This window comes from Homo sapiens, chromosome 5, assembly GCF_000001405.40.
Source record: "Homo sapiens chromosome 5, GRCh38.p14 Primary Assembly".
In the NCBI taxonomy this organism is placed as follows: domain Eukaryota; kingdom Metazoa; phylum Chordata; class Mammalia; order Primates; family Hominidae; genus Homo; species Homo sapiens.
In genome coordinates, this window is record NC_000005.10 from 72037199 (window position 1) to 72051952 (window position 14754).

Sequence of the window (14754 nt, forward strand, 5' to 3'; positions counted from 1 at the left end):
TCCTTCCAGGCAAGGAAAATAGGTTGAGGTTTTTGTTGTTATGGTCATTGATATTGATCTTCTATTGTTAGATCTCTCGCTGTCTCTCTCTGTCTCTCAGCATACACACACACAGGGAAAAACACATGCACATGTATTTTTAACCTTATCTTGACTTTACTAAAAGAATCTTCAAGCTCTTTCCTCTATTGCTGTCTCAAGGCTGAAGTCAGATTTGGGAATCATAGAATCAGTAATTTGAGAGGGAATAGGATGGTGATTTTTTTTTACTGAGTCTTACATTATGTATAGACTGAGAGGAAGGCCAAATACACACAAACACACACACACACACACACACAGGCACGCACACATATGTGTGTAGTAATTTAGGACACGTTAGACTAAGCCTGAAAGAAATAAGGCTGCTAAGCTTCAGACTCTTGACTGGAAAAAGGGAACTGCTAGCCAGAACCCAGCTGCTCTTTCCCTAGGGCAATTCTCTAACTTCAGGGAGTATGACAATCACCTGGGGAACTTCACAGACATGTGAATCCCCAGTCCCCTCCTCAGAGGTTCTGACTTAATGGGTCTAAAACCTTTTTCACTAGTTATAGTATTATTGCTTTCTCTATAAAATAGACATTTGCCATTGACTGAAGAGTGTATGTGCAAGGCCTCTCTAAGCAGCAAAGTAAGTGGGGGAAGGAATTTAGACATGCACAGCTCCAGCATGCATACATTTTCAACAGAGATGCTCAGATACTACCCAGCCCTTCTGGTTGACATTCACATGAAGCCACTGGGTCAATATAAACTGATATTTCAAGTTGGAGGTCATAATGTTGCACCTGAGGAATGCTACTGAGGGTCTTAAAAGTGTGTTTTTGCTGATGATGGAGGAAAATCAATCTCTGGCCGCCTGGAACAGTGGCCTCTTACAAGCCATGTCCAGCCATTGGTTGTTGAGGCTTAAATGGGCCAACCTCAGAGTCTCTGCCCATGAGCAAATGGCTCATTTCTTTCAAAGGAAGCAGCATACGAGGCTCTGAAGATCACATATTTTGGAAGTTTATGGCTCTTTATCATTCTTGGGTAGGAGTTTCATGTCTGCCTCTCCAGTCTTGAAAGAATAAGCCCAGGGGAACCCTTAATTCAAATGTGACCATAGGTCTCTCAAATATCTTCTAGACCAGTGTTGTCCAATTGAAATATAAAATATAATGTGAGTTATGTGTGTAATTTTAGATTTCCTATTAGCCATATCAAAAAGTAAAAAGAAAGATATAAAACATACTTTAATAATATATTTTATCTAATCTAATATATACAAAATATCATGTCAACATGTAATCAATATTTTTAAAATTAACAATAAAACATTTTACATTCCTTTTGGGGGTACAAATGTGGTGTGTATTTTATACTTAAAAAACATCTCAGTTCAGACTAGCCACGTTCAAGTACTCCATACAGCCACATGTGGTGGTAGCTACTGTACTGGACAGCACAGATCCAGACCGGGAGAGAGAGAGGGCTGAGACAGCGCCTATTCTGCACCCAGTGATGGGGAGACATGGAAGAAGAGAAGCTGATGAGTGTTGATGCATGCCCCACACCCATCCCATAAGAAAATCCCATGTTGGCTCTCCCTTCAGAATACATCCAGAATCCTGCCACTTCTCACCATGTCCACTGCTGCCACCGTGCTCCAAGCCATTATTGTCTCTCACCTGCATCACTTCTTACTGATCTTCCTCTTTCTACCCTTCCCCCTGCAGTCTATCCTTAAGGCAGCAGCCAAATCAATCCTATTGAAGTGTAAGTCAGATCATGTACCTTCTCTCTTCAAAACCCTAAAATGGATGTCCATTTCACTCAGAGTAAAGCCAAAGTTCTTACAACAGACTCTCAGGCCCTACCTGGCCTGCCTCCCCCTCCCAGAGTCACCTCTTCTTCTACTTACTCTCCCTTTTGTTTACTCTGCTTCAGCCCCACGGGCCTCTTTGCCATTCATCAAATATTCCAGAGCCTGCCAGTCTTAGGAGGAAGCTGCCTGTTCCTTCTGTGGGGATGCTCTTCCCCCATACAAGATATCTTCAAGGCTAATGCCTTACCTCCTTTGAGTTTTTGATCAAATAACACTTTCTCTCTTTGTTTTTGTTGTTGTTGTTGTTTGTTTGTTTTTGAGATGGAGTTTCACTCTTGTTGCCCAGGCTGGAGTGGAATGGCGCAATCTCGACTCACCTCAACCTCCACCTCCCGGGTTCAAGTGATTCTCCTGCCTCAGCCGCCCAAGTGGCTGGGACTACAGGCATGCACCACCACACCCGGCTAATTTTGTATTTTTAGTAGAGACGGGGTTTCTCCATGTTGGTCAGACTGGTCTTGAACTCCTGACCTCAGGTGATCCACCTGCCCTCCTCGGCCTCCCAACGTGCTGGGATTACAGGCATGAGCCACCACACCCAACCAATAATACTTTCTCTTTGAGATTTACCCTACATGGTAGTGCAAACTGCTCTCATTCCATCCAGCTCCTCCACTCTATACTATACTACTGTGTAATACACTTGTGCTGTGTTTATTATTTATTACCTGCTCCCCCATAAATGTTTCATAAAAGCAGGAATCTTTATCTGTTTTGTTACTTGCTGTATCTGCAAACCCTAGATTAGTGCCTGGCATATGGTAGGTGCTCAATAAATATTTGTTGAACAAATGACTGAATGAATGAGGTTGGAGGCATCTTGCATTTGCCTCCCAGTAGCTCAGCCCCCCAGCAGTGACGAGGACTCTGTACCACCCTTCTCAGTCATCTTCCTCATCTTCCCACCACATTGCAAAGCCTTGGGAAGAAATAGGATTAGAGTTAGGTACTCATCCTAACTAAATGAACTTTTCCCTTGGAACAATAATTCTTTCCTGTTTCTTTTTGTGTTTGTTTTTTAATCACAGGCTCCTTGTGAGGTTGGTGGCAGCTGTGAATGTTCTTCCCCAACAATTTCACATACAATTTCTGGAGGTTCATAGACCTCTGATGCACACCAGAAGAGTCCAGGGACCTCAAATTAATAATGTGTGCCCCAGAGGTTCACCCAAGTGTAGTTTTCCTATCCGTCTTTGAAATCAAATCTTTCTGCTGCTGCAAAAATAGAAACCATATCCAGAAAGAAATTACAGAGCCAACAGCAAACTTGAATGGTAATATAGTTTATCTTTTCACCTGCAGATAGCTCTGAGCTGTCTGCTCTTCCTAGGAAAACTCCACTTCATGGGGAGGTAGACCAGTAGATCACATCCAAAAGTTCTTTCTCATTCCTTATCTAAATTGCTCCTGCTTTAAGATGAATCTGCTTTCTTTAGCCAGATCTCCTGGGAAAACAAAAAACCAAGTACTTATCTTTAAAAAGTATTAGGATGTCCCTGTTCCCTTCCCCAAGTCCCTTCAGGCAAAATAAACAGAGTGATTGGCCTATTCTAAACAAGCTCACTGAAAATGCCTTTTCTCAGCAGGGTTCAAGCTCTGGCCTGAGCCAGCCCAGGAATGAGTCTGAAGAGACCCAGAGAAGCAAGCACTGAAGGACAAAGGGAGGCCCTGGGGTCCCCTCACAGATCCCTAGAAGAGAGGATACTCATCTCCTTTGCCTGGAAATGTGGCATATGATGACTAAGAAAGACACAAAGCAGGGGTTCTTTAACATCCTTCCCTAAAAGTGGCTGTCAGAGGCATGATGCTGTCCCACAGACTCTGCCTGTCACTAAAGCCCATTCTTAGTGTGGGGACAGTTAATCAGATGGTAATCTTCAAACACCCCTTTGGTCAGTGGAATGGGAAAAAAGATGAGTTTACAGTATTCTGGATTTTAGCCATTCATTGACTATAGCCTGAAAGCTTTAAAAATGCTTTACAAAATAAATACACAGAGCTCCTTTTCTGAAGCATGATTAAGTCAGAGGATAGTAAAACTCCCTGGCCCAGAACTGAAACCTTCCCATAATTATTGAAATCAAATGAAAGCATGACAGTCTGTGTCTTCACAAAGCAAAATCTATTCATTAGGCAATAAAAAGCAGTCTAGAATAAAACACAGAGTTTATATCAGAGTCTCATCAGAGGATTTGGACAGAAATTGTTCCATCAATATTTTTTGTTGGAATTGCAGTTTATTTATAAGGGAATTGCCAAGAGCCTTTGATAAACTGTGAAACTTCCTAGGTGAACGAGAACTGTATAATCAATGAAACTGAGGAAAAACATATTAAGTTCCTGGAAGAACTTAGAGAGTGAGGAGAAAGTGGAATCAAAATATTGATTGTTTATATCTGTCTCTCTTTTTCTCCCTGAGGCTAACAAGAGATCCATGGAAGCATGGGATTTTTACAAACCTTAAACATTAGCTAGCTCCCACACAGTCCCCCTCTGCTGTGCTTACTGAGCATGACTCTTCCATAACCTCTCAAGTGGAGGCTGCTTGAAGTTCATTAATTCCTTCAATTAACTACACACTACTGATGTAGCTCCCAAAGACCTTGTCTTAGTTCAGGATGCTATAACAGAATACTGTAGACTGGATGGCTGGAACAGCAGATATTTATTTCTCATAGTTTTAGAGTCTGGGAAGTCCAAGGTCAAAGTGACAGCAGATACAGTGAATGACGAGGGACTGCTTCATGATTTGCAGATGACTGTGTTCTCGTATCCTCATCTTGTGGAGAACAGAGAAACAGGAAGCAAGCTCTATGGTGTCTCTCCTTATAAAGGCACTAATTCCTTCCAGAGGACTCCACTCTCATGACCTAATTACATCCCAAAGTTCCCATCTCCAAATACCATCACTTTGGAGATTAGGGTTTCAACTTGTGGATTTGGGGGAATGCAAACATTTAGTTCATAGGAGAACCAATTCTACTAAAAGGGCAGCTCCAATTGGCATATTATATATATTCTTCTCTGGACCCAAAACTGTTGAGGAATAGCATTAATAATCATAAAAAGCCAAATAATCCTTTTAAGGAAGTTGAGTAGCTCAGCCAAGCAAAACATTTTCAAATATTTCATCCTCTGTCTTTGTCTGACTTTCATTTCTCATGGCAGGAGGGCTTTGAACAATTACAATTGGGCATGCTTTTTTGTGACGTCATCCTTTTTATTTCAGTTTGTTTGTTTTTGTATTGCCCAGACTAATTGCTTTAGAATAACACTGTTATTGCAAACAGTGATGTGATGAAGGGGAAACTGTGAAAGGCTTGGGAAAATATAATAATTTAATACATTATAAATATATATATGTTTTACAAACAGGGTCTCACTCTGTTGCCCAGGCAGCAGTGCAGTGGCACCTTCTTAGCTCATTGCAGCCTCAAACTCCTGGGCTCATGCTATCCTCCCCAGTCACTCTCCCAAGTAGCTAGGACTACAGGCATGCACCACCATACTCAGCTGGTTTTTTAAATTTTTTGTAGAGGCAGAGTCTTGCTATGTTGCCCAGGCTGTTCTCAAACTCTTGGACTCCACCAGTTCTCCCACCTTGGCCTCCCAAAATGCTGGGATTACAGGCATGGGCCACCACACCCACCCATAAATATTTTTAGAAGGAATTTTTCTGACTCCCGTGTCACAAGGGACAATAATTTCTATATTCCTTTAAGTTAATCCATACGACCTAATGAGCCACAACTACCAAAACAGGTAGGGTGCATTCTGAGAGCTGTGCAATTTGGACTGAATTATGATGGAATTGACTCAGACGGAGGCAGAAAACTCTGGACATATTAATAGCATCCAAAAGTAGATTTTAAAGAACTCATTACATGAGGATGAGATCCTGTGGAGGGGTTCAGGTTAATATATGGGTCAAATCATTGAAAGAGTTACTGAGGAAGACATTTTAAGAGACACGCATGTTGGACGCATCTTTGCACAGAGGGGACATTTAGCCTGAGCAACATATGTTTAGAATCCAGATTGAAAATCATTCTTGATTACGGATGGAGGGACAAATCTCTCTGGCCAGAAAGCTGGAGTCAGGAGACAGGTGAGATGGAAAAAGTAGACTTTGTTTCTTCCCTTGGTAACACTCACAAAAGTGTCCACCCCCAGAAACGCTGGAAAGGAGAAAGTGATTCTGTTAATAACCAACCTTAAATGAGCTAATTAAGGAAATAACAGCTTTGGGGACACCACACTCTTTATAATGGGAGGAATTGGACTCTGGAGAGTTGCTGGAAAGCTCACCTTCTGGACCATGCCCACTGACTTTACTGGAAATGGAAATCTGAAGGGGATAAGGATGACCAGGGAGAAAACGTCCTGGGATCAGACCAAGCTTGGGGCTGGTGCACAAGGCTTTGCCTTGACTTTTAAAGTTCTGTCTATAAATGTTTCTCACCCCTTTCTTTCGCACATAGTACGGAACCCTGAAAAACTATTCTTCAGGTTATAGGCTGCACCAATTGCTCAGTTTAGAGAACTTTAAGGAATCCCTTCTTAAGAAAAAAAGAATCAGTAATTGTGTCCATTTTGAGGAATTTTAATACTTGTCATGTACACATATGTGTACATACAAACCACATAATAAACAACACTTTTTCCTTTAGCTATTACAGTCCAGTTCTTGAAGTGTCAAGGTCATAAAGTTTACCAATTAGCTATTATGAACAAGTTCTTCATCAGAATAAATGGAAATTTTACTTTGCTTTAGAGAAAATACAACGTGCGCATATGCACTATATTTTGAGATCTGCATAAAAGAACATTTCTATACTATTTTAATAGAAATATTGCTCAGTTTTAAATGTATCTCAAGTTTAAATGAGTGGTATTTTCCCTTTCTAAACTAGGATTGGATCTTCTGCTCTCAGCCATCAGTTCTGGGTAAATCCAAGCTGCTTGGCTGGCTAAAAAGAGGTGTGGTTGGTTTTACCTAATGGCTACCCTCATCTGTAATCTTCTTTATGCAACTAAAAATCAGTAAGAACAACACACTTATTTTTTCTCCATATGTCCTGGAAGCAGACCTTTATACCATGCCTCACAAGACGGACAGAGGGAGGCATCTGGAGATGTTCGGACAGAATGGAAGTCAATTAGAACATTCTAATGGTGGGCATGCAGCCTGAAATCAGATATGTTACCTAGGGATGTTGGTGGATTCTATATGGCCTGTGAGAATGAACAAGCAGGTTAGTACTGGATGCTGTTGCCAAAGAATGGGCAAGGGCAGAAGTGAAAGAAGAAATGGAGAAGGCAGTAGGGTCAAATAGTGAGACTCAGATGGGAGAATCTATATCTTTGTAACAATATTTTTACCCATTGGAAAGAAGACATAGGGTAAAATTTTAGATATTGATATTCAAAATTGTTGCCATGAATGTTCATAGCAGCATTATTCACAATAGGTAAAAAGCAGAAACAGCCCACATGTCCATCAACTAATGAATGGATAAACAAATGTGGTTTCTCCATACGATGGAATATTATTTGACAATAAAAAGGAATGAAGAGCTGATATACAGTGTGGATGATCTTCAAAAATTTTATGCTTAGTGAGAGAAGTCAGAGGTGCTGTATCATTCCATTTATATGAAATGTCCAGAAAAGTCAAACCCACGGAAACAGAGTAAATTAGAGCTTGCCTAGGGCTGAGGGTGGGAATGGGAGCAATAGTAAACGAACATGGTATTTCTTTTGGGGCTGATGGAAATGATGTATGATCAGATGGTGGTGATGGTTGCACAACAATAAGGCTCAACAATAAGATTAACGTTCTGTGGCCGGGCACAGTGGTTCACGCCTGTAATCCCAGCATTTTGGGAGGCCGAGGCGGGCAGATCACCTGAGGTCAGGAGTTTGAGACCAGCCTGACCAACATGGAGAAACCCCCGTCTCTACTAAAAATACAAAATTAGCTGAGCATAATGGCACATGTCTGTAATCACAGCTACTCAGGGGGCTGAGGCAGGAGAATCACTTGAACCCAGGAGGTGGAGGTTGCGCTGAGCCGAGATCGTGCCATTGCACTCCAGCCTGGGCAAAAAGAGCAAAACTCTGTCTCAAAAAAAAAAAATAATAATTAATTAAGTAAAGTGTAACCTTACTGAAAATTATTAAATTGTACATTTAAAATTGGTGATTTTATGGTATGAAAAGTATACCTCAAAAAGCCATTATAAAAAATTGCTATCTGAGAATATTATCATTATTCTGTATTGAATGTTTAAGAACTCTATGTGTGAGTTTAAGTTCATTATGGCTTTAAATGAATTCCTCAATTTCCCTTGAGAGAAAGGTTTTGCTTTATTTTTCTTTTTAGGTAACCAAGGCTGTACTCAGATATTGCTAATAAGGAAGAAAAACTGGTGTCCTGTTTTTAAACTGAGGACACTAGGGCCAGAGGTCAGGAAGAGGGATCACCTTCCCCTTCAACACAACATCCTTCTAAAAGTTCTGCCTCTGCTTCTATAATTGTGAAGCACCTATTACTATTCCTCAAGGCCCAAAAGGGGGTTTGTAGGATGATGGATATAGGAGATGTTGGGGTTTCAAGGATGAAGAACATCTAGCAGTGAAGCAGAGAAAACAATGATGTCTAGAGTGAGAGAAAATGTGAGGGGCTGTTGGAAAATATCATCAATATTCATAGAGACTTGATATTAGTGACAAGGAGGGATAATACTCACCTAGGTGGAAAATGTTCACATCCCCTTAGCTGAAATTACTTCTTCAAGCAGATGGTTTTGAATTGCTGTGAATAGGCTCACATTTGCATAATGGCTTTTCTAGATTTTTTTTTTCTGTTACTCTCAACTAGTTGCTTTAGAATAACGTTGTTATTTCTGTTAAACTCCTCCTCCTAGGAACCAGTGCAAACATATGTAACATTTACATTTTTTTTTTGTTTGCTTCTTCACCACATAACACTGAGCCTCCTAGTAGTGTTGCAAATCTTTGGCTATTAAGGACCAGAGATGTCCCTATCCCTTTTCTTACATGTCACGTTGAGGAAGGAGGTGAAATCTTGGTGAAATTTTTCTTGACTTGATTTGGGCTAGAGCAAGGATATGACCTGGTTTCCATTGTAGAGGATCATAACATACCACCCCAAAATATGGCATTTTTCCATGTTGATTCATTTGAGCTTAAGGCAATTGAGTAACAGCAGATGCAGAAAGAGCTCTCTGACCTTCCCCTTTCAATTTATTTTTAATTTTTAATTTTTTTTATTTCAATAGGTTTTTGGGGAACAGTTGGTGTTTGTTTACATGAATTAGTTCTTTAGTGGTGATTTCTGAGATTTTGGTGCACCCATCACCTGAGCAGTGTACCCAGTGTGTAATCATTTATTCCTTGCCACCCCCCATCATTTCTCCTGAGTCCCCAAAGTCCAATGTATCATTCTTATGCCTTTGCGTTCTCACAGCTTAGCTGCCACATATGAGTGGGAATATACGATGTTTGGTTTTCCATTATTGAGTTACTTCACTTAGAGTAATAGTCTCCAATTCCATCCAGGTTGCTGCAAATGCCATTATTTCATTCCTTTTTATGGCTGAGTAGTATTCCATGGTGTGTGTTTGTGTGTGTGTGTGTATACATATATACCACAAATATATATATAAATCATATATATATATATATATATATATATATATATATATATACATATCTCACATTTTCTTTCTTTTTTTTTTTTTGAGATGGAGTCTCACTCTGTTGCCCAGGCTGGAGTGCAGTGGCACTGCAACCTCCACCTTCGGGTTTAAATCATTCTCATGCCTTAACTTCCAGAGTAGCTGGGATTACAGGCATGCACCACCACTCCTGGCTAATTTTTGTATTTGTAGGAGAGATGAGGTTCCACCATGTTGGCCAGCCTGGTCTCAAACTCCTGACCTCATGTGATCTGCCTGCCTCAGCCTCCCAAAGTGCTGGGATTACAGGTGTGAGCCACTGCACCCAGCCAATATCACATTTTCTCTATCCACTCATTGATTGATGGGCATTTGGGCTGGTTCCTTATTTTTGCAATTGCAAATTGTTTTGCTATAAACATGTGTGTGCAAGTATATTTTTTGTATAATGACTTATTTTCCTCTGGGTAGATACCTAGTAGTGAGGTTGCTGGATCAAACAGTAGGACGCCTTTTAGTTTAAATGCAGGGCACAAATTTCTTGTGAGAAAGATGCTTTCCCTATACCAGGAAGAGGAGAACATTCTTATCACTGGATATGGGGAGTCAACACCCAGATGAATCCATACAAAAAAGCCTACTGAAATAACCTTATTTTCTATTAGTTTCCCATTTATTTCCTAGCCACCTTCCCATAATCTGCTGCTTCAGCCCAACCCCCTTTTTTCCTTGTCATATTATTTTGTCTTGTCACATCTTCTGAAATTTATAATTCTTTGTTAATGTGGTATATAAGCTCTCAGGCCTATCTGCTTCTTTGGATCTTCATTTCTTACATATGAAAGCCTCCATGTATGTGTAAAATATTAATATCAAATAAAATTTATATGCTGTTTCTCCTGTCAATCTGTCTTTTGCCACTTTAATTCTCAGGCTAAGCCACAGAACCTAAGAGGAAGGAGGAAAAGTATTTCCCCTCCTTCATTATGTCTCCTAAATTTTCAAACCAACAATGTCAGTACTTCCTTAAGTTTTCCAGGGATTCTTGTGAGCCACATTACTAAGGCAGGTAGCAATTAAAAAATCATTTCTATAGTTCTTTTACTCGTTGTTCCTATTTTCACCTAGACAGATCAAGTCAAAGCCTTCTCAACATGACAGCCCTTTTTATAATTGAAGACATCTATCAAATGTTTGTCATCTAAGACTTTGTTAGTCCAGGTTAAACATCCCCAGTATATTGGCCATTTGTCAAAAGACATAAATTTTTCTTCTTGGCTGGAAGAATTTTGGTATTGTCTCAAAGTGTGTTGCCCACTTTAAGATACAATCTGATGGAAGATGTACCTGGTGTGACTATTACCCTCATTAATAACAGTGACAATTATTCATGGAAAATATAAGCAGTGCTGAGATAAAATTATGTACTGGCAGGAAGAAAAAGTTATTTGTGGGTGTTTGCTCTGAGCAGACTCTGTTAGGTGCTTTATAAACATTAGCCGGTGCAGCTCATTAAGCAAGATGGGAAGAGGAGGGAGGGTTTCTGCTCACCTAGTGGCGTCCACTCTAGGGATGAGAATTTTTATGAAAATCGTCAATTGGTTCCACCCACTTCAGATATCATCCTGAAAGGGCTCTTTCCCTTGAAAATGTACAAAAGCAAAAAAAAAGAATTAAAATTTATTAACCCCATACTATGAAATAGGAACTATGTGTAGTTTGCTCAAGAGTTGGTTGAGAATGATTAAGTCTGATAGCAAGTAACAAGTAATTTAGTTCTGAGGATAACTTCTATTCCTTCTTCACTGAGGATCACAGAAAGCCTTCCCCGGGGGTGAATGAAGCAGCAGCCTGTGTCCTAGTCCTTTCATCACCCTAGGTCTGAATCACCCACACGTTCCCTATTAGGACCACACAATTCTGGGCCTGGAGCACCAGTCTGAGGTGTCATAGTGGGTTTAATTAAATGAACTGGTGAGAAATCATAGGCATTATATCCCCAATGGCTCCAAGTTTATTCCTTAAGTGCAGCCTTCAGGAACGGTATTCTGCACATATTGGGTTCCTTTAATAAGCACTCCACCAAATGCCAGCATCACAGCTGCTCTTTATATCTATATGCTTGTGCAGGCTCTAAGCTGTAGCCACGGGGATGGCTTTAAGATTCATGGACTTTAGCAGGAAGAGAGGCACTTTTTGGGTCAGACTTTTCCAATTCAGGAGGCTTAAGATATTCACAGGTAATTCTTGAAGGAAATATCAATGCCAGAAGTAGGTTTTCTTCTACAGTGTATTTTATTTTGATACATAGGAACAATATAAGAGTATTTAGAAGTGGCCTGCCATACCCGAGAACGTGAAGAAATCACCAATGCAAGAGCCCTTTGACAGCACTGACCATGTAAACTCTGAATTGACATGTGTCATTGGGGCAGCTTGTCTTATAAATTTAATATGGATTTGTGATGTATAAAAGTTTGGGGGGCTTTTAATACCAAGAAATAGAAAACTCGGCTAACAGTGGTTTAAACAACCAAGAGTTTTGTTTTCTTGCCTAGTAAGAAGCCAGGAAGTAGGCAGTGGCGGGCTTCACTCAACTGCTCAGTGGCGTGCCAGGGCCCCTGGCCTTTCTCATTTTCTGCTCTGGCATCCTCAGATTCTTGCCTCAGGGCCACAGATGGAAGTTGCTTCTCCACAAGAAGCAAGGAGAAGGGAGAAAAGACATGGCTCCAGTAAGCTTTTTCTCCTGGGTCTGTCCCTTTATCTGAAAATAAAATATTTCCTAAACCCCTCTAGCAAGCTTCCCCTATATATCTCATCAGTCAAAATCAGATCCCACTGTCACTCTGGCTGCAAGGGAGATTGGGAAGAGGATATCTGAGAAAAGGCAATAGGATTACTATAACTGGTTTACAGACGTGAAGATTCATGAGGGGAGACAAGCACATCTTCTCCCCCAAGCAAGAACACATTGGCAGGAAGGAGAGCCATGGACATCCACGAGGGAATGCAGCAATCTGCTGTATTGTAAGCCTGTCTACTACAAAGACTCATTTCCTGTGGATCAAATTCTGAGAAAAGAAAGTCTTCAATGAAACACCGAGTCTTGTTCTCAAACTCTTTCTAGATCAAATCAATACAAAATTGGAATTCTACAAAGGAAAAATACATAATGGTGGATCTGGGTTTCTAAAAGAATTGAGAACTGAAGTATATAAGGTAAGACAATGAATGGTTTTAACAGCAAGCTGTGTTAAGAGTATCAGAATATCACCAAACATGCAGCTCCTGCTTTTCATCACTTTAATGCAATGTGTCTTTGAAAATAGAATTTCTCCTATTATGCTAAAAAACAAACAGATATTAGGTAAAGATCTGATGAGAATAAATGACAATGCTCCCTATAGCATACATATATTTGATTAAAACATACTTCCCATTTTTAAAAAGTTGGTGTTTTTAACCTCATTATTTATAAGAAGAAAAAATTTACTTGCAAAAGTAGTATCGTTTAGTGACAAAAAGAATAAGCTCTGAAGCCAGGCAAACCTGGATTCCTATTCTGACCTGCTTATTAGCCTTGATCAAGTCTCAGTGATTTCCCTGAAAAATGAGGGTAATAAGAGCACCTACCTCATAGATTGCTGTGAATCGTAAAGGTGCCAATGCACACTAAAACTTTGCATATTTCCAGGCACATAAGAAACCCTTAGCATTACCTGTCTCAATATTTTTCTTGGTTTTGTTTTGAATAAAAGCATTTGGACCTAATTTTAATTGTTAATTATAATAAATAATTTATTTGTGAGATCTTTCTCTGTTGTGGTTTACTTTAACCCAGGGATGCATTGTATCTTGTGACCTCTTCCTATTGGTGTACTGCCAAGAAAGTATAATTATTAAAATATTCTGTGATATGTTTTGATAACCCTCTAACTAGACTATGACTTTTAAAAGTCTACGGTGATGGATTGGACCACACCTAATGGAGTCCATGGTATTTCCTACATGGCACTTGTCACCCCCTGGACCACTGCACCTGGCTGCAACCACTCTGGTTTGCTGTTAACCCTCCATGCCCTGGGCTGTAGGGTCCAGATATAGTAGTTTTGGGCTGTCAAGTAGAAGTGCTGAGTTATACTGACTTTTCTCTCCCAGACTCTCCAAGTCTCTTCCAAGAAAACTTCTTGTATTCGTCTGTTCTCTCATTACCATGAAGAAATACCTGAGACTGGGTAATTTATAAAGAAAAGAGGTTTAATTTCCTCAAGGTTCTACAACCTGTACAGAAAGCATAATGCCAGCATCTGCTTGGCTTCTGGGGAGGCCTCAGGAAACTTATAATCATGGCACAAGGCAAAGGGGCAGCCAGCACTTCACTTGGCTAGAGAGGGAGGAAGAGCATGGAGAGGGAGGTGCTACACACTTGTAAATGACCAGCTCTCATGAGAACTCACTCACTATCATAAGAACAGCACCAAGAGGGAAATCCACCCTCATGATCCAATCACCTCCCACCAGGCCCCACCTTCAACATGGCAACATTGGGGATTACAAATCAAGACGAGATTTGGGCAGGGACACAGACCAAAACCATATCACTTCTCTTGGCCATGTGTTCTCAGTTCTATCTTTGAATAGTTCATTTTTTTGACCTGAGTATAAAATGGGACCATACTATTATCTAGTCACATTATCCCATTTTGCCTTCAGGAATACCATGACAGACTTTGTTGAATACTTTATCAAATCTATGTTTATCATATTTGCCTAGGCTAGCAGGTTGGCAAAGTCATCGAGGTTAAATTGGAATGCCTGTTTTTGCTACTTCCTCTCTCGCCTGTTATACAGTAAGAGCCAATATGACAGAAGTCATGTCTGATTTGTCCACAATACCAGAGACAAAATGAATAATTTTTAGTGACTCATAGACTGAATGATAAATTGACTCCATCTGACTCTCAGTGATGATTATTTTTTTTCTCTACATACTCCCATCTTTCCATTAGCAGTTATTTTTCTAGAAAAATGTCCATGATCAATGTCAAAGTCACCACTACTGTGTGGAGACAGTCTCTGATACCTCCAGCCTCACTCTTCCTCACTAACATCACACTCAGAAGGAGATCTAGATGCTGGTAA